This window comes from Homo sapiens, chromosome 2 (assembly GCF_000001405.40).
Source record: "Homo sapiens chromosome 2, GRCh38.p14 Primary Assembly".
NCBI lineage: Eukaryota > Metazoa > Chordata > Mammalia > Primates > Hominidae > Homo > Homo sapiens.
The window spans coordinates 178223133-178244947 of NC_000002.12; the positions used below are offsets into that span (position 1 = coordinate 178223133).

The following is a 21815-nucleotide window of genomic DNA, read 5'->3' on the forward strand; positions in this document are numbered from 1 at the left end:
AAGATGTTGAAGCCTTGTAAGACTTGTTACTAGTTCACTCTAAAAGTTTACTCTGATTCTCTATCAACCTGTTATGTGAAAAGTGATTTTACATTGTCTTAAATCGCATCTCTATTATTCAGATAGAGCATTTTTCTGTATTGTGTTGGCCATTTGAATTTTGTGGTTACATTCCCTCCTTTGTGTTTTTCCCATTTTTCTTTAAAGATATTCCTGTTTTGGCTTATTGTTTTGTGAGAGCATAATGTATTAGAGACATGGATTTCTTGTCTGCCTTGTTGTAGATATTTTCCCCCACTGGATTCAAATCTTGATTGAGATTTTGTCAAATGTATTGTTAGTTAAGTGGGTATATGTATATCTTTCGATATTGGCTCTTGTTTATTAAATACGTTTTACAATTAAGGAAATTGTAAAAAGTAAAAGGATATGGAGTGACGTTTCCCAGGCCCTTCAGTTTATTCTTTGCCTTGGGGTAGAACTGTTTTTAAATCCTTTGAGAAAACTGAGTATTTAGTATTTACACTGACTAAGTGATTGGATTCCATTTGGTTGGGTTTTAAAGTGTTCTTTTTAATGATTTTAGCACACTCACCTATTGTTACTCATTCTCAAATCTGGTATCTTTGGCTCTTTGAAACAGCTTTGAGTGGGTCCTTATGGCCTTGGGAGTCTGACAATTTTATGATTATTTCAAATGTTATTGAACTCATTTTGATGGATGTTTTCTGAGCCTTTGGCTGATTGCACAGAGACTTTGCCTTTAACTGTCACAGGGTTGGCTAGTGTGACCTTCACATCAGGCTGCGGAAAACACACTTGCCAGTCATCTTAGGACAATTTGGATTGGTTGCCTGGGCAACCTTACTGGCTTCTAATCAAATGCCCCAAGGATAGCCCAATTCCCAAGGGGAACGCCGCATCTGAAGGGAGGAACTCTGTCCTTGGAGTAGCAGTGATTTTAGGACACTTGGTTAATATTGGGGGGAAGTGAGGGGATGCCATGATCTCACAATGAACCCGGGAAGGGAGACAATAAAGGAAAGGGGGATCAAGAGAGAAGGGATGTAAGAGAGGCTGGAAGGGAAGAGAAGGTTGCATTGAAGCAAATGGTAGACACTAAATAGTGAATAAGAGCAAATGATTTGTGAATAAGAAAACTGTCTATTGCAGAGTGAGCAGAAGTACACCAAGAATGCAGATTGAAAAGTTATGTTTAGAAAAAAAAATCCATGGCCAATAAATGACTATCTAGAGAGGGAAAAAGAACTTTGGAGACTTCTGAAAATGCAATGAAAATATTTTTTCACTGAAACAGCCTTGCATGTGAATGTCTTTGATTGACTCCTTTTTAAGGAAATAACATTGTCTTCTTCCTATACTCTCCATTGCAGCCTGAGTAAATCCTGTGTCCAGAATCAGAATGACACCATTCAGAATTATAGGACGCATTTTTATTTGTTTCTTTCATGAATCAGAACTGTTATAGATTAGAAACTAGTGTAGTTAAAGTCAGTTCTGGCCAGGTGTGGTGGCTTAACCCTGTAATCCCAGCACTTTGGCAGGCTGAACTGGGAGGATTGCTTGAGTCCAGGAGTTCAAGACCAGCCTGGACAATATAATGAGACCCCATCTCTACAAGGAATTAAAAAGTTAGCTGAATGTGGTAGCATGCACCTGTAGTCCCAGCTACTCAGGGGGCTGAGGCAGGAGGATCGCTCAAGCCCGGATGGCAGAGATTGCAGTGAGCTGAGATTGTACCACTGCACTCCAGCTTGAGCAACAGAGCAAGACCCTGTCTGAAAAATAAATAGTTCTCTCTCTGTGTCTCTGTCTCTCTCTTTATCTCTCTCTGCTTCTCTCTCTCTCTTTCTCTCTCTCTCTCTCTCTCTCTGAGTGTGTGTGTGTGTGTTTAACAAAACACATCTAAAGAATCTATAGATATGCCAGGACGGCTATTATGACAGGTGGCAGTGTTTTAGTTGCTCTAATAAGCTGAATGAATGCAGATGCTAATAGGCAGAAAGGCATTGTGTAGCCCTGGGATGAAAGCCTCTCTAGAGAGCAGTAAGCTGACCACAGAACCCTTGGTCAGGTGCCCATTACTTTAAAAAAAAAAAAAGGAAAGAAAAGAAAAGAAAAGAAAAAAGGCTGTGACTCACTGCTGAAATACTCAGAACTGTTCTGAAGACCCCCTCTTTCTGCAGATCTCAGACTGAGTATAAGAGAGATGCAAATTTTACAGTAGTTGAAATTGGCACATCCAGCACTTTGTAAAGTATGCTATCCAAGGTAGTCACTCCATAAATATTGGACAGTGAAGGTAGTGTCTGGATTTCAGACCCTTGAGTTTGTTCAGATGTTCTCTAGTGATGGGATTCTGTAGTTACAGAAAACCGTGGTGTCAGTCAGAGCCCTGGGAGGTAGGGGCTGGTGCATTAGTTTGTTTCCATGCTGCTGATAAAGACATACCCGAGACTGGGCAATTTACAAAAGAAAGAGGTTTATTGGACTTTCAGTTTCACATGAGTGGAGAGGCCTCACAATCATGGCAGAAGGCAAGGAGGAGCAAGTCACAATCTTACACAGCAGGCAAAGAAAGAGCTTGTTCAGAGAAACTCCCGTTTTTAAAACCATCAGATGTCATGAGACCCATTCAGTATCATGATAACAGCACAGGAAAGACCCACCTTCATGATTCAGTCATCTCCCACTGGGTCCCTCCCACAACACATGGGAATTATGGGAGCTACAAGATGAAATTTGGGTGAGAACACAGAGCCAAACCATATCAGATGGTGTATCCTGAAGATTTACCTGAAGAATATTTAATGACAGAATGACTTAAAGTGGTGAGGGCAGAGTCCAGGGAACCCCCAAAGGAAGGCAAAGCAGCCCGGAGCTAGTAACAGAAGGAACCAATACCTTTTCTGGGCCATAAGCAGCAAGGGAGGAAGCTGTGTTCCTAGGGCCCACTGAGAGCTCTAGTCATGGAGGAGGAAGTGTGGATGCAGTGACAGCCTGGGTAGGGGTGGGCAAGGAGATGGGTTGGGCATAGATACTTCGTTTCTTCTGGCTCTCACTTTCTTGCTGGTGGCTCCTGTGAGCCAAAGCCCTCTGGAAGCCAGCGAGCAAGGGATGCTGGGTGGTGCAGTCACCTTCCATGCTGGTAGCACAGTGGGCAAAGGATGCTGGGTGGTGCAGTCACCTTCCATGCTGGTGGTGCAGTGGGCAAGGGATGCTGGGTGGTGTAGGTCAGCTTCCTGGAGCCCAGAGAAGGGCAGAGAAGGCTAGACAATGGGTCTGGGGTGGGAAGAGGCAAATGAATAAGAACCTTCACAGTGTGCACATATCCCTGTTCTATAAGGATCTCCTTGCCCTTTGGAAGCATAAGCATTTGGAAAAGAAGTTATTTATGAAATAATCCTTTTTATAGGAGCTGGAGACATGCTCACATGTGTTTAGAACTTTGGTGTATGTCGGATTTGTAGGAAAAGGAGGGACTATTCAGTATATGGAACAGAGAAGAAATGGTTATCTTTAACGGATTCCTGCTTCATACTATATACAAAAAAGTCAACTTCAGAAGGTTCTAGGTCTTAAATGTTAGAAGGAAAATGTTAAGACTTTTAGACTTGGATAGAAACGGATTTCCTTAGTTTTCTTTAAGACTTTTAGTCTTCAGAGAAAGAGAAGATTTCTTAAGGCACAAAAAGCATTTAATGTAAAAGAAAATATTGACACATTTGACTCCATTAAAATTAAGAATATTGTTAATCTAAAGAGGCCTTATTGAAATTGTATGTTGTGTGAGATTTGCTTCAATACAATTTCTGGGAATGAAGGTTGAATAGCTGGAGATATAAATGAAACAAAATTGATCATTTTTGAAACTGGGTGATGGCTACACACAAAAGATGAAAGGATAGTAGAATATATTAAGAATATATTAAGAAGTCCAATAACTCAGGATGAAAAGTGTGAACAACCCACTAGAAAAATGGACAAAGGATATGCATGGGTATTTTACAGTTACAAAAAAGGAAATACATATGGCTAAGTTTTATCAGAAATGTTTAACATTATTTGTAATTTGGAGGGAAATGCAAGTCACTGCCATAAAGATGCCATTTTATAACCATTCAATTGGCAAGAATAGAAAAGTCTGTTAATATCTAGAGCTAGGGCAAATATGGATCCACAGGATCTCATATCCTGCTAGTAAATTGTTGTAACAACCACAGAAAATAGTTCTGGCATTATGTCATAGAATTGACCAGTCACATTTCCTGCAACTCAGCATTTTACTCTTTCAGGTTTACATATAAAATAAATCCTGGCACATGTGCATCAAGAAATACGTCCAGAAATGTTGATATTTGCCCTGTACATATAAAAAACTTGGGAAAACTCAAAGGTCTACGGACAAAAGAGTGGTTGGATAAACTGTGGTATAGTCATCCAATGGAATACATGCCAAAATCCAAATGAAGTATAACGAAATAACGGCAACATAGATGAATTTTAGCAATGCAATATTAAATGGAAAAATTCTAAAGATACTACATTTAGTGCCCTTTTCTATAAGTTTAAGAGCAACTAAAATTATAACCATAGTTTTTAGGAATAGATATAAACAAGATGATAGTATATTAAAAAGGAAAGCAGTAGAATGTTGAGTATGGGGTTCAAGATGGTTGTTACCTCAGTAGGGGGAGGCAGGAAGATGAGATGGGAGGACCATTTGGGTAGATAAGTTATTATCAACGTTTAATTTTTGTGTTTTCTCTATGAAGCATGTGTGAATGAGGGCAGCCTTCATGACCCACATGTGAATGTGTCTTATATCAAATATTATGTTTAATTTAATTATGTGCAATTGAGGTAGAATAAAAGAAGAAAAAAAAGACTAGGACAAGTGGAAAAGAAAGAGTAGCACAGTACATTTACAGCAGTTGGAAATTATACATTTTGCATAAGAGGTAATCAGGATATAGACTAAGCAGCACTTACAAAGATATTCCAAACAAAACTAATGTGCAAACAAAATAGAAGGTATCTCTTCCACTTTCTCTCATTCATTTAATAGTTTAGTTATCATCCAATAAAAATTTAAGACACGGCCGGGCGCGGTGGCTCATGCCTGTAATCCCAGCACTTTGGGAGGCCAAGGTGGGCATATCATGAGGTCAGGAGATCGAGACCATCCTGGCTAACATGGTGAAACACCATCTCTACTAAAAATACAAAAAATGAGCCGGGTGTGGTGGCGTGCGCCTGTAGTCTCAGCTACTCGGGAGGCTGAGGCAGAAGAATGGCGTGAAGCCGGGAGGTGGAGCTTGCAGTGAGCCAAGATTGTGCCACTGCACTCCGGCCAGGGTGACAGAGCGAGACTCCATCTCAAAAAACAAAATAAAAAAATTAAGCCACATATATCATAATATTAAATTTCCTAATAGCCAAGTTAAAAAGGACAAAGAAACAAGTGAAATTAGTTTTAACAGTTTATTTACCCCAATATAACCCAAATATTATGCTAACATATAATGATATAAAAATTATTAGTGAAATAGTCTACCTTCTTTTTTTCATATTGTCTTCAAAGTCTGATGTGTATTTTACATTTACAGCACATCTGAACTTGGATGCTAAATTTTCATCAGAAATACTTGATCTATATTTAGATTTCATAAAATTTATAGTTGAAAAAGTAGATTCACAAACCCAGGATGTTCTAAATATATTTAGTTTACCATTAACTGAACTGAATATTGATGTGTTTAGTCCATTTTCTGTTGCTATAAAAGAATACCTGAGACTAGGTAATTTATACAGAAAAGAGGTTTATTTAGTTTACAGCTCTGAACTCTGGGAAGTCCAAGATTGGGCAGCCACATCTGATGAGGGCCTCGTGCTGCTTCACAGCATGGCAGAAAAGTGGAAGGTCATGGGAGCATGTGTGTGTAAAGGGCAAAATACAAGGGGTGGCCCCGCCTTATAACAACCCACTCTAGTGTTAACTAACCCAGTCTCTTGAGAATGTGACATGAATCCCTCTTAATGACCTAATCACCTCTTACAGGCCCCACCTCCCAATACTGCCACAATGGGGACCAAATTTCCAACACGTGAATTCTGGAGGACACACAAGATAGATTAGAGCCTTGTCTCTGAATGATCTCTAGACCGTGCATGGTGTTTAAATTAATTAAAATGAAATAATATAAAAAATTCAGTTCCCTAGTCTCCCTACCCGCCTTTGAAGTGATTAGTAACCACATTTGGCTAGTGACCACCATAATGGAAAAGCAGGTCTAGATCATTAGTTATCAAGGCGTGCTTCCCATTCCCTTTCCCTACCCCCAGACCAGCAGCATTAGCATCACCTGGGAACTTGTTAGAAATGCAAACTGTGGGCTGGGTGAGGTGGTTCACTGCTGTAATCCCAGCACTTTGGGAGGCCAAGGCGAGTGGATCTTTTGAGCTCAGGAGTTTGTGACTGGCCCCGGCAACATGGCGAAAACTCATCTCTACCGAACACATAAAAATTAGCCAAGTGTGGTGGTGTGCACCTGTACTCTCAGCTACGTGGGAAGCTACAGTGGGAGAATTGTTTGAGCCCAGGAGGTCCAGGCTGCAGTAAGCCTCATGCTAGCACTACTGCACTCCAGCCTAGGCTACAGAATGAGACCTTGTCTCAAAGAAAAGGAAAGAAAAAGAAAAAAAAGAAATGCAAATAGCAACTCAGACACTCTGGATGTGGGCCCAGTCATCTGAGTTAAAGAAGTCCTCCAGGTGATTCTGATCTACATTAAAGTTTGAGAACCACTTAGTCTATCTAGAAATGGACCAGCCCTCAGTCTCTCTGCCTTTTTGCTCAACCATCACTCATAGTGTTGTTCTCATCTTCAGGGTAGAAGCTGGCCAGCTAGGAGCACTTCTGCATTCTACCCTTAGGAAGGTTGGGTGCTGGGGAGAGGCGACAGATTGGACAAGCAGTTTTCCTTTTTTAAAGGCTGTTACACAACATTGCCCACATCCTTTTGCTCAGATCCCATTGAGTAGAGCTAAATGGCCCTACCCTGTTTCTGAGGCTGGAAATTGTAGATTAGTTGGCTGATCATGTGCCAAGTGAAAACTTGTGGAGGTGAGATGGTGGAGGAAGTTGTTCTGTTCCTGACAGGAAAAAACAGAATGGATACTGAAGGCAGTTTGCAGTTTTACTGCAATAGGTGGGCACAGTTTGATTTATTTTGCAACCTAGACCTTAACCTTGATTTTATTATTTCATAGTCTCTGATCTTCACTGGCATACTGGGTTCCTCGGAAAAGTGGAAGACATGAAGTATGGATGTATATAATACCCGAGGAAGTCTCAAAGGTACTATGAAATATGTCTAAACGTGAAAGGTGCCCGAGAGAACTTGAGTCACCAAGATCAGCCTCTGACCAACTTCTTTAATGCAGAGAAGGTTGTGTGTGGTGCATTGTGTGGGAGGCAGAATTTAGCCCTAGGTGTAACTGTTCAAAGGACAAGTATGAGTATCCTAAACCTACTCTACAAAAATAATAACCATTAACATTTTGGTCTGTCTACCTACCTAGATTATAAATATAAAAAAGAAATTGGATTATGCTTTTGTGTGGTTTTGCAGTCTGCCTTTTCCCTATACCTTATAGCACAAATACCTTCCATATCAATAAATACATGTCTGATTGTTAACAAATTTCTGTCATGGGATATTTCAATAGCTTTCACTTTCTGATTTATAATTAGCACTATAGTGAACATAGATATACATTTCTACCCACAACAGCATATTGAAGTAGCATTGTTGTTTGGGGTAGATACCTGGGGTTTGTCATCTCACACTGAGAAGATTAACGACAGGGACACACACACAGAGTGGGTTAAGGAATGGAAAGTTTACCAGGCAGAAGAAAGGAGAGAGGAGAGCAGCTCTCTCTCTTGTGAGAGAAGGGTGTCCAAAAATGGGAAAAAGGCTGGCCTGTGGTGGACCTCAGCAGGTTTCATAGGAAGGCTTGAGCAGCGGTGTCTGATTTACTTAGGGCCCTCCGGTTAGATTGACCAGGTGTAATGTTTACAAAGCACATAGGGAAAGCTGGTCACCCCACCTAATCTTATTATGCAAATGGGCTTTCCACTTGGCCAGGCCACCTTGTCTGCTTCTTGTTGTACATGTGGCTGGCAAAAAGAGAAGATGGAGCCGCCATTTTGAACATGCCTAGTCCCAGGTAGTATATTACTATGGGCACAACTGCTGGCATTCACCCGTGCAGGCTTCCAGCTTGCTTGTCTATGTCTGCAGCTCGATTTTACAGGCTGCTCTTTGTTGGAAAATTATTTTGGGGCTGCTTGTCATTAAAGGAAAACCTTACCAAGGACTCCTGTACCCTTACTATCTGCCTAAGTAATTTCTTCTTAACTTCTATACCAATATGAGCAGCCCTTTCCCCCATCCTGACCACCACCAGGGTGGTCCCATTTTTTTTTTTTTTTTTTTTTTTTTTGAGACAGGGTCTTGCTCTGTCACATAGGCTGGAGTTAAGTGGCATGATTACACCTCACTGCAGCCTTGAACACCTGGCCTCAAGTGATCCTCCTGCCTTATCCTCCCAAATAGCTGAGACTATAGAAGTGCACTGCTGTGTCCCTCTAATTAAAAAACAAACAAACAAACAAACCTTTTTGTAGAGATAGGGTCTGGCTACATTACCCAGGCTGGTCTTGAACTCCTGGTCTAGCATCCTTTTTAATCTCTGCAAATCTATTAAGCAAATTTATAAACTTAAACACGGTTAATTCTTGTTGAAATTTCCATGTCTTTGATAATCATCTTAGGGGTTCTTAAACTGTACTCCTATGCCATAGAAACTAGACACAGGTGTTTTGCTGCTCAGATCCATAAACTGGGTAAAACAATAATATCTTTTCTCACTTAGCCAAAATAATATTATAGCTTTCCTCTATTTGAAGCTTTTCCTATACATTTTTCTTAAACATTTGCTATATTTTGCTGCTTATTCTAGAATCTGGTCTAAGATAATGAAGATATATTTTTATAACATCTTAAAGGTATATTTTAACTTTAAATTTAATATATCAATTATTGCTTTTTTTCTTTTTTGACCCTCATCCTCTGACTCTCAAATTATGTTTCTCATGAGTACCTTGACTTCCAGGAAGTAAACAAGTTTGGAAATTACTAATCCCAGAGACATAGGGCACCAAGGTTAAAGAGAGGGGAAGGCTCTGGACTCAAAAGTGCTTGTCCCAGCTGTGGTTCAACCAGCAGCATGATCTTGGATAAGCTATTGAACCTATCTGAGCCTCAATTTCTTCATATGTAAGATGGGATAATAGAACCTGTACTATAAGGTAGTCGTGATGGCTAAATCAAAAGGTGAGTAGAACACTGTCACACTTCACAAAATAATCATTAGCTGCTATTATTATTCCTTTATAGAGGAGGAAACAGTTACCTAGCTCATTACTCTTAGCATTTAAGTAACATGTTACATTTTGCTTATTGTTTTTACTGTCTTGAAATCACATGCTGTTTTTTTTTTTCTTATTACCAGAATATTGAGGTTTCTACTCAGCCCAGTACTTTATTCTGGTAACAGCTCCCAATTGGTCTTTCAAAAGCAGTACCCCAGAAATATCCCTCGCAGTACCTTTCCATTCTGTGTAGTGGGGGTAGGACCTGTTACTGGGCCTCAGATGTACTCGTGTATACGCTGAACTCCTGTCTCTGAGAAACACTTCAGAATAACTCAGAACACCTGACTCTTTTAAAACTTTCAGATAATTTGTAATTGCAACCGACACTGGATATCAAGCAATTATACAAAGCTAATTCCTGATGGCCTGAGTAGAAACACCCCATGGTGTACTGCCTAGATGGTAATTATTTTTGTAATATTGGGAACTTTACATTCTTATTTTCTACTTGTTACAATTCTTCAAGTACCTTCAAAACAGCTGATTCAAGAAACCTGTTCGATATTCTGAGGGCAGAAATGGGAAGTGGAGTTTTTTCAGGCTTGGATAGGTTTGGAATTTGCTTCTTCCCCTTTAAAAAAGAATCCTTGAATTTGCTTCAGAAATGAAATACACAGTAAAGGTGAAGTTAGAAATCGGGTGGCAACCAACTTCCAATGCTGAATATCTAATTCCTGCGAACCAGCCTTGCTCTCTGAAAACTGTGGCCATTTTCATGGGTTTTACTTGGCCTTATTTTATTATGGCTGCATCCTCTGTGTTTGCTGAGGCTTCTCAACCATCTGAGAGTAGGACCCCTTCATTTCTGGCAGTTCTGCTTTCAATGCTATTTCATCCAGAATTACTGGGGATATTATTACTTTAGTCATTGAAATGTTTAGTGTCAGATTAAAAATCTCATCAGACGTCAGTGTCTTTGATTTCACTCACATGACTCAGAGCATCATCCTGGGGATCCCTCAGCCTCTGGAAATGTTAAGGAGGTGATGACACATGGGCAGGGAGGGAGATTTCAGTCGATGTTCAGTACCTGGAGGCTGAACTTTGGCATCAGAAGGGATCTGGCCATGGACAGGCTATTTAATCTCACTATTTTTTGAGTCTTTAGTGACAGTACCCACCTCATGCGTTGTTGTGAATGTTAAGCTGATCTACTTAGGATGATGAGCTTAGCACAGTATCTGGCACATGATAATTCTTCTATAAGCACTAGTAATTATCATTAGTAATATTATTCACAGTAGACACAATTCTAGAGACACTGAAAATACTCTTGCCTCATGCTTTACATATTGAGACAGTAATAGTTCTCTAGTGGCAGTTTTTTTTTCTCAAGAGTTGAATAATTTACTTTATTCAGCTATTTAATAATACTAATCATATAGTCTTAAAGACTGAATGTTCACTCAGTATTACATTAATAGGAAGAAAATGGAAATATTTTCATAACAGTTCTTAATGCTAATTACCATATATGTCTGAAGTCATATCATTTACTCAATTTCTATGGTACCTGTCATAATAATACTTTAGAAAATGAAATAGTAATAATAATGACAACAACATCAACTTTTGCAGTTGAATCTGAATGAATATGGAGTTGGAGAGAATATCTGTCCAATTCAGGTTGTCATCATTAAATATTTCACAGGTTGTGAGTTGCCAACCTTTGCTGGACTTAAGCCCTTTAGAATAAAATGTATTTCAGGCCGCAGTATAACCTACCGGCTTGTTACCAGTGAGAGAGAGAGAGAGACAGAGAGAGAGAGTCATTTTTAAAAAATACTTTTTGTTTTAAGATAATTATAGATTCACAGGAAGTTGCCCAAAAATGTACAGGGAGGTACTGTGTACATTTCACTGTTTCCCCCAAAGGTAACATCTTACAAAACTATAGTACAGTATCAAAACCCTGACATAGACATTAGTACAATCCACAGAGCTTATTCAAATATGTAAACATTTTCTCCCCGTCTGTAACTGGTCTTTTCATCCTCTTCATGGGATCTTTTGTAGAGCAAAGGTTTTTAATTTTGGTAAGGTCCAATTTATCCATTTTTCCTTTTATGATCTAGGGTAGTTTTTCTCAAAGGCTTTTCCAGACAGTACCTGCTTTTGGAATCATTTGTAGTACCTATTACGAAACCCATTTGCTTGGGCCCCACACCAAACACTCTGAATCAGATTCAAGGAATGGAGTCTGGTAGTCATTTAAGAAGCTCCCTAAAACCTGGGAACCACTGTTTCAGAGAGATTGGCCTTGGGTCCTTTTTCTTCTTGTTCTGCCTTGTCTGTGAATCATGCCACTCACTCTTACCACCTTATCAAATATGTTTGGATAACTTCTAAATTTATCTTGTTAACCTCTGTGATGAGCTCCAGAATAGGTACTTTGCCGGATACTCTTCTGTTATACAAAGAACATACTTAATAAATGGGTTATTTGTTAGGTATTACTTTTCTGGATCCCTTTGAACAGTATGCAGTAGAATATATATAACAAAAACCTTCCCAGTTAATGTTCATAAATTGTCAAAGAGGCAAGACATTGGTCCTGATGCATGAATTACTTAATTATAGAATACTTTGGTGGAGGGGTTGAGTTATACATATATAATCTTGGGGTTAATGGTTTTTTTGTGGTCTTATTTGTATCTCTTCTTCCTTTCATTGAAACAGATATTTTTATACAATTTCTTTTTTTTTTCCTTTTTCTTTCTTTCCTTTTTCTTTTCTTTTCTTTTTTTTTTTTTTTTTTTTTTTTTTGAGACAAAGTCTCGCTGTGTCACCCAGGCTGGAGTGCGGTGGTGCAATCCTGGCTCACTGCAACCTCTGCCTCCTGGGTTCAAGCAATTCTCCTGCCTCAGCCTCCCGAGTAGCTGGGACTACAGGCATGTGCCACTACGCCCGGCTAATTTTTTGTATTTTTAGAAGAGATGGGGTTTCATCATGTTAGCCAGGATGGACTCAATCTTCTGACCTCGTGATCTGCCTGCCTTGGCCTCCCAAAGTGCTGGGATTATAGGCGTGAGCCACTGCACCTGGCATTTTATACAATTTCTATTTGGAAAAAGATGCACAGTGCTTGATAAGTATCAATATGCCTATGGCTTAACAATCTAATTTTTAGATGGTTTGGTTCCTCTTTTTAAAATTTTCAAGTATTTTTCATTAGCATAAAGAACTATTCCTTGGGTGTCTTTAATGAAAAATGACCTTTTCATAGCTGGATATTTTATTTGATGTTGGAATGTAATCAGAATATGAAAATGTCAATTTTTGTTTTATTTTTACGTTAGATTCAGGAGGTACATGTGCAGGCTTGTTACATGGGTTCAATTTTTAAATGTCTCAATTTTATATCACTTGTTTTAACAAGTTAGACTTTTTTTTTACAAGTTGTATTCTCATTTTATATGTTCTCTGCAACCATTGCTTCTGTTTAATCCTTGTTTCTAGTTGCTACAGTCTCTTAAAAATTAAATTATCCCTTTAAGATGATAGAACATGCTTATGCTAAAGGTAGCAGCTAAAATGATGATGAAATACTCTTATATCTTAATCCTGAAAAAAAAATTATAAGTTTAGTGAGTAGTGCTTAATGATGTTTTTGTCTTAGTTCAATTAATTAGAGTTCAGTAGCCAAGAAAAGAAAGCTAATTTTGCCTTGGATGTAAAGTTTGGATTTCACTTTTTACCACAGTGGAGTGGTCAAAGAATTCACAATGTCCATCCTGTAATTATAATATGCTACTGTATCATGATATCATCCTTCTGCACTTGCAGCCCTTTTGGGAGAGTCTGATGTCAGACAGCGTTGGTTTCTGTGTGGGCCTGCTACCCCTGGTGACAGGGAACTTGGTCACTCAGCCAGTCTCTACTAACTTCAGATGGCCATACCACCAGCATGTGCTGTGGGAGATACCAGGGGATCCAGTGACAGTGTGATTGGCTTTTGTAAACAGAGACATATTCTCAAGTAAGTGGTCTCCAAAGACTGATGCTGGTAGGAATGTATGATATAGTCCAGGATGCTTGAATTCTCCCGCCCCCGCTTGGATGCCAGAATTTGTCTACAGTCACTTATAACATTGTCTTAACCTTCATGATAATTTGAAACAGTTTATCCTCCAGGATTTGAGACCCCAGAATTACCGTCTTTGACCATAGCTCCCTATCACTCTTTCTCTTTTTCACTTTTCCTTTTACTCAAACTGGCATTGCCCTAACTTCAGCCCCCAGCCTCCTTCCTGTCTTCTCTGTTCTTCTGGTTTGGGTTTCATGGCCTTAGCTTGGACCTCAAGTAGGCTAATTCAGCTGGACTGTCTAGTTTCTCTTACCTCTTATACTCTCTCAGCCATATGGCCAATACTGACCTTGAGAAAACCCTAATGTCATTCTTTTACCTTTTACTCTGGGGATAAATAACTTTTTGCGTAAGATATTCAGGACACTGAGTTGATATTTTTATTCCCCCTGCTGCTGGGCCCTCACAGTATACTGTACTTAAGTGAGGATTACTTAATAATCCTTTCGTGTCCTTCTAGTTGTTTCTACCTCCATGGGGGCTGTTCCAAGTGTTTTCCTCGCCAAGACCCTACTTCTGTCCCCATATCTCTGCAGAATTCTTGCTGCTTACTTTTCTAGTAAGATCAAGGCTATCAGATACATGTTTTCTCAATTTGTTTTTTTGTTTTGTTTTGTTTTTGTCTCAAATTCTCTGCATTCTTACTGCCTATGCTTTCATTCCTCCTGTTTCAAACAATTTGAAAAGGTCTCCTCTATTGCTCACCCATTGAAAAGGTCTCCTCTGTTGCCCACCCATCTGTTTCTTTCCTTAATCATACACCTTCCCACTCTTGTGAGATGCTGATTTATCAGTTATATTCTTCCTTTATTGTAATTTAAATTTAGTAGCTCCTCACCATCCAAAAATACTCAGATCTCTCTCAGCCTCAGCATGGTTGACATTTTGGGCTGGATAATTCTTTGTTGTAGGGCACTGTCCTGTCTGTTGCAGGATGTTCAGCAGCAACCCTGGCCTCTACCCACCAGATACTAGTAACACCCTGGAGTTGTGACAACCAGAAATGTCTCCAGACATTGCCAAATGTCCCTGGAGGCACAAAGTTACTCCTCTGTGAGGACCACTGGTTTAGAAATGATTCTTGCAATCAAGCCATTCCAACCATCGCTACCCTCCTCTCATTCCCATCACTACAAGCTTCTCTGTGGACCACTCACTTCTTATCTCCACTGAATCATCATCCAGTCAATCCTGAGTTAGGTTTCTGACAATACTCATTACTGGAAAATGCTCTGAGAGGTCTGCAGTGACCTGGCAGCCAAATCCAGGGAATGACCTTTTCTCAATTCCTTGATTGTCTGCAACTTTTAACACTGTCAGCATGTCATGGTATTCATCTCATGTATTCTTTTGGGGTCAGCTCCTATCTCCCTGACTGCCTCCTTCAGTGGTCCCTCCTTATCTGCAGTTTCAGTTACCCATGGTCAACCAAGGTCTGAACATATTATATGGAAAATTCCAGAAATAAACAAATCATACATCTTAAATTACTCTCCATTCTAAGTAGCATAATGAAATCTCATGCCGCCCTGCTCTGTCCCACCCGGGATATGAATCATCTCTTTTTCCAGCATATATACTGTCAACACATTAATCACTCAGTAGCCATCTCAGTGATCAGATGGTCATGGTATCGCAGTGCTTGTGTCCAAGTCACCCTTATTTTACGTAATAATGGCCCCAAAGTGCAAGACTAGTGATCCCAACAGTTCAGATATGCCAAAGAGAAGCCATAAAGTACCTCTTTTAAGTGAAAAGATGAAAGTTCTTGATTTAATAAGGAAAAAGAATAAAGCCTAAGCTGAGGTTGCTGAGAGCTGTGGTAAGAACGAATCTTCTATCTGTAAAATTGGGAAGAAGGAAAAAAAAATTCCTGCTGGTTTTGCTGTCATATTCAGACTGCAAAAGTTATGGCCATAATACTTGATAGATGCTTAGTTAAGACAGAAAAGGCATTAAGGTTGTGGATGGAAGACAATGAACAATGTTCCTACTGATGGTAATCAGGCTTGGTACTATCCATGGTTTCAGGTACCCACTGGGGATCTTGGAACATATCCCCCCAAAATAAGGGGTTCTACTGTACATACTTTCTAAATGTAGGTACTTCCCCCCAACTCATGTGGGCCTCTGCTGTGTGCTTTTTCACATTTTCTTATCCCCTCTCCCGCCTGTTAACAGTCACCTCCATGTGGATGATTTCCAAATATAGATTTGTCTCTTGGATGGACTCCATCCAGGCTTATGTGTCCTTTTGCCTTTCAATCGTCTATGTGACACATTAAAAAATATATTTCAACATTTTCAAAATCAAAGTTCTCACCTTCCCTTCTTTCACTGATCCCCATTAATGGTATCACAGTCCTTTATATCACCAGTTCCCCAAACATTTTTTGGCTGTATACTACATCAGTAAAAAGGTTTTGAGCATGTTACACCCAAAATATGTTTATTAATAAATTTGATACACATGCAATAGAATTATGTTATATGAAATAGAAATTTTACAAAGATGAGGGAAGATGAAAATAATATTTAACATTTTAACAGTGATGGCTGGGCACAGTGGCTCACACCTTCAATCCTAACACTTCCTTGAGCCCAGGAGTTCAAGACCAAGCCTGGGCAATATAGTCAGACCTCATCTCTACAAAAAATTTAAGGATTAGCCGGGTGCAGTAGCACATGCCTGCAGTCCCAGCTGCTTGGGAGGCTGAGGTGGAAGTTGTAGTGAGCCAAGATTGCGCCTCTGCACTCTAGCCTGGGTGACAGTGAGACCCTGTCTCAAAAAAATAAAATAACAGTGAGACCCCTGTTCTAAGATATTATTAATTTAATGAACTTTATTTTATTTATTTATTTATTTATTTATTTATTTATTTATTTATTTATTTATTTGCGATGGAGTCTCGCTCTGTCGCCCAGGCTGGAGTGCAGTGGTGTGATCTCGGCTCACTGCAAGCTCTGCCTCCTGGGTTCACACTATTCTCCTGCCTCAGCCTCCCGAGTAGCTGGGACTACAGGTGCCTGCCCCCATGCCCGGCTAATTTTTTTTGTATTTTTAGTAGAGATGGGGTTTCACTGTGTTAGTCAGGATGGTCTCGATTTCCTGACCTCGTGATCCACCCGCCTCGGCCTCTGAAAGTGCTGGGATTACAGGTGTGAGCCACCGTGCTCAGCCTGAACTTCATTTTTTAAAAAAATCAAATTTTAATACTTTGTTACACACAAATTTAAGTATATTTTATTTTGATTTTTCATTTCAATGTCTTACTTGAAAAAGTTACCCTACAGACAAGTGGATTCAAATAGAAGAAGCATATTATTGCCTATACTTTTGAAGTCATAATATTCAAGTATAATGGTGATTGCCAGAAATTGAGGAGAGGCGAGAATGGGGAGTTAATTTTTAACGGGTACATAGTTTTAGTTTGGGAAGATGAAAAGGTTCTGGAGATGGATGATGGTGATGGTTGTACAACAGTATAAATGTACTTAATACCCTAATTTTATGTGTATCTTGCCACAATTAAAAATAAGTCTGGGTGCGGTGGCTCACACCTGTAATCTCAGCACTTTGGGAGGCTGAGGCAGGTGGATTACTTAAGGGTCAGGAGTTCGACACCAGCTTGGCTGACATGGCGAGACCCCCATCTCTACTAAAAATACGAAAATTAGCCAGGCACGGTGGTGCACACCGTAGTTTCAGCTACTAGGAAGGCTGAGGCAGGAGGACCACTTGAACCCAGGAGATGGAGGTTGCAGTGAGCCGAGATCCTGCCGCTGCACTGCATTCTGGGCGTCTCAAAACTAACTAACTAACTAATGAAATAAATAAATAAATAGAAGTGTTTAGAATTAGCCGGGTGTGGTGGCAGGAGCCTGTGATCCCAGCTACTCAGGAGGCTGAGGCAGGAGAATTGCTTGAGCCCGGGAGGCAGAGGTTGCAGTGAGCCAAGATTGCACCACTGCACTGTAGCCTGGGCGACAGAACAAGACTCCTTCTCAAAAAATAAAAAGTGTTTAGCTGAGAACCATTCACATAATCACTTAATAAAAGTTAATGTTAATAATTAATAATTGCTATTATTATTTCTATACCACTATCATTACTAATTGTCCCCAGGGGCCTATTCATAGTTCTCAGATAGTATCCTAATTTTGGCTCAGTAATCCATCTTATCCATTATGTGGCACATGGTCCCTTGTATATAGTGGGAAATAATTATTGACTAAATAATGTGATAACAATGGACTACAATCTTTTTTTTCTTTTTTTCTTTAGGGATTTCTATGAAAATGGGCATGGCTTCTGATTACATATTTAGTTCATTTAAATTTGATATCTTAAGTGTACTAATGCCACTCTGCATGTATTCATATTCACGGTAGAAATTTATAGTTAAGGCAGTTTAAGCTCATATAGCACAGATATTTTTTTTTTTTTTACTCTGGACTCCTGGGTTCAAGCAATTCTCGTGCCCCAGCTTCCCGAGTAGCTGGGACTACAGGTGCACGCCACCACGCCCAGCTAATTTTTGTATTTTTAGTAGAGATGGGGTTTCACCACGTTGGCCAGGATGGTCTTGAACTCCTGACCTCGTGGTCCTCCCGCCTCGGCCTCCCAAAGTGATGGGATTACAGGTGTGAGCCACTGCACCCGGCCAGGGCTTTTTTTTTTTTTTTCTGAGACATGGTCTCATTCTGTCACCCAGGCTGGAGTGCAGTGGTGTGATCTCGGCTCACTGCAACCTCCACATCCTGGGTTCAAGTGAATCTCCTGCTATAGCCTCCCAAGTAGCTGGGATTACAGGCTCGCACTACTATGCCTGGCTAATTTTTTAATTTTTAGTAGAGACGGGGTTTCTCCATGTTGGCCAGGCTGGTCTTGAACTCCTGACCTCAAGCGATTCGCCAACCTCGGCCTCCCAACGTGCTAGGATTATAGGCGTGAGCCACTGTGCCTGGCCTGAGGCTTTTTAAAAGACATCTTAAAGTTGTGCCAAGTTAAAATAATTGCCTTGGACAACAGTGACTTTAAGATGATTTTATGGGCCACATAATGACATTTCAGTCAATCATGGACTGCATATATGACAGTGGTTCCATATGATTATCATATAGTATTTTTATGTTTTGCTATTTTTGTGTGTCTACATATACAAATACCATGAGTTACACTTGCCTACAGTATTCAGTACAATAACATGCTGTGCAGATTTGTAGCCTGGGAGCAATAGGCAATACCGTACAGGGTGGGTGTGTAGTAGGCTACACCACCTAGATTTGTGTAAGTGCACTCTGTGATGTTCACACAATGACGAAATCACCTAAAGACATTTCTCAGAACATATCCTTTTCACTAACATGTACATATGTTGTGAAAGTGTGATTGAGAACTGTCTTTAAGTGGATTTGATGTGGAAAGTATGTACTCAGAAAAAAGAAAAGGAAACACTTGGTGGTCTTAAACACTCACAGCTGAACTCTGCCTTTTATTTTTCCCCCTTAACCAATATTATTTGACTCCTCTGACATCATCTCAAAAGTACCTGCCTTTTCTTTCTTCACTGGTTCCCAGGAACCTTTCTATGTAGTTGTCTAGCTGAGCAGCCTACTTTCCAGCAAAATGTAATCCCAATTCCCACATCTCTCTTGGCTTTGCTGTTTCCTCCTCCTCTTTCCTCCTTTCCCAGTGAATCAGCAGATGTGGATGACGTCATCTTTGTATTTGGCAGTCACACGGGTGTTAAATATTGCCCTGCCAAGAGTCAAGTGTGGCGAGCCTGCTTCTGCAGTTTTTGCTCTTATTTAAATTGGTGGAAGTTTGCATTGAACAAAAAAATTTGAATTGTGATACTTTAGTTTTAAAAAAACACCAAAGTCAACCCTGGAATTAGATTTGAATTAAGAGTCCCTTATAACCTGCAGCTGAATCAATGGTTGATGCAGTGATTTTATACCATCTTGTAGTGCTTTTCAAAATACTACCAGTTGGCCAAAATGTGAGCAGGATATCGATGCGTTAAGTTTTTATCAAAGAAATGGTGGATGACCTCACTTAATCATCTAAGGCCTGTCCAAAAAATTAAAAAGCTGTAAATTTAAAATTGTTTTCACAAGACAGCTATGAAGCAATAGTCACAATATATATATACACACACATAAAACCTTAGAAAATGCAGCCATATTTTTTTCTTATGTAAAGTTTATTTATAACATATATTTAATATTTTAAAATTATATATTTCATATAGTAGCACATTTTTATAAATATATCATTTATAAAATATAAACAACTTGTATGTAAAAATGTATAAAATCAATAACTCTGTGTAGTCGGTTGATAGCAGACTTCTGTACATTCTCAGTATGTAATTTGCTGTAGTTAAGAATGAGCACTGTTCACAGTTCTTAGAGAGGCCCTGTGTTCCCATCCCATTGGCCTGCTCCTTGACATGGGAGTGGAAGATATCCAGAGGTTAGTGGGAAGCTGGGAATGACTCCTTCAAAGAAGGTAGGACAGTTTTAGTTCTCAAGAGTGAAATGGCACATATGCTTCATTTCTGTTTCACTTAATCCTACCACGTACCTGAGGAAGTCTCAAAGGCATCTTTAACTTCTGAGTTCTTTGTTCAAAACCAATCTTTTGATCCCCTACTTGCCAACTAAGCCTGTGCCTCTTGCTGTTCCTGTTGTTGTAGGGGCCACTCCATTCAATCAGTTGCTTCAGTCAGAAACCCAGGGTCACCTTTGGTGCCTCATTCCTTCACTGCACTCCCCCCGACCCATATGGCTTAGCCCTATCCATTCATCTCCAAAATATATTCCAAACTCATCCCCTTCTCCCAACTCTATTGCCATAGCTTCCCCATTTCTCATTCTCCTCCATTCATTCTGGGTTTTTTTGTTTCTTTGTTTGTTTTGAGACGGAGTCTTGCTCTGTCGCCCAGGCTGGAGTGCAATGGCTCAGTCTCGGCTCACTGCAATCTCCGCCTCCAGGTTCAAGCGATTCTCCTGCCTCAGCCTCCTGAGTAGCTGGGATTACAGGTGCCTGCCACCACACCCAGCTGATTTTTGTATTTTTAGTAGAGATGGGGTTTCACTATGTTGGCCAGGCTGGTCTTGAACTCCTGATCTCGTGATCCGCCTGCCTCAGCCTCCCAAAGTGTTGGGATTACAGGCGTGAGCCAACACGCCTGGCCCATTCATTGTTTTAAAAACACAAATCTGATCCTTTTTCTGCTCTGTTTAAAGTCTTTCACCATCTCCCATTGTAGTTAAAGAAAAAAAAATCCTTTATTGGCTGTAAATTATCTGTCTCCTGCCTACACCTACCACCACCTCATTTCATGCCCTCCTTTGCCTTACACACTGCTCAAACTCCGCTGGTCTGGTTTAAATTCCTGGCACACCCAGTCCCTTCTTGCCTCAGAGCCTTTGCACATGCTACTCCCTCTGTCTGGAGTGTCCCCTCCTCCTTGCCCTTCAGACTTTGCTTCACTGTCACTTCCTCTGAGAAGCCTTCTCCTCCCCTAGAACTACTATAACTTAGGTCCTCCTCTCTTATTTTTTCTCCTAATACCATGTTCTTTTTCTTCTCACATTTAATATTTGTAATCATAGGCTTAGCTATTTATTTAATACTTTAATCCATCTCTCCTATTAGACCTTAAGTCCATGACACAAAACAAGTTCTTTTGGTTTAACACCATACCCCCAGTTCTTAGCACTGTGTCTGGCACATATTAGGGATTCAGTATATATTTGCATGAATGAATCATTGAATGTCTTTATAAAAAGGGAATAATATCATATTCCTGATTTTTCCCCCTTGGTTCTTAAAGATAGTAGGTAGCCTTCTCAACTGGAAGGCATTTGATAGATATGCTTTTATAGTTTTATATGATTCTGAATATCCTGGCATTTGCTATGCAGAGGGAGACTACTGCTTATGCTTATTTCATGGTTTCTGACACTTGGTTAACAATTTAATTTGAAATCACTACTGAGACTTCCTTCAAATGGAAAAAAGCACTTACCTAGGTTGTTTAAAATGTATGAGCGAGCCCTACTGTACTGTACAGAACAGCAAAAATAATTTCCTGCTTTGGTAATGGGAAAAATATTTTCTCCACATGTGTTACTTTCCCCCAACAATGTGCTAAGTTACAGATGGTATATTATCTCCGTAATAAAAAG

The 21815-nt window shown here is 39.8% G+C and overlaps 1 protein-coding gene across 48 annotated transcripts in view; it reads left to right on the forward strand.

The window, feature by feature from the left end:
• OSBPL6 (oxysterol binding protein like 6) overlaps positions 1-21815 on the forward strand; it is a 209120-nt gene that overhangs the window by 29359 nt on the left and 157946 nt on the right. For 6 of the 48 annotated variants that reach the window (XM_017003266.2, XM_047443126.1, XM_047443159.1 and 3 more), the window contains exon 2: positions 7294-7381. The exons of the other annotated variants lie outside the window; for them this stretch is intronic. The gene's annotated coding sequence lies outside the window, so the exon portion shown is untranslated. The remainder of the gene's footprint in view (positions 1-7293; positions 7382-21815) is intronic. 48 annotated transcript variants of the gene reach the window in all.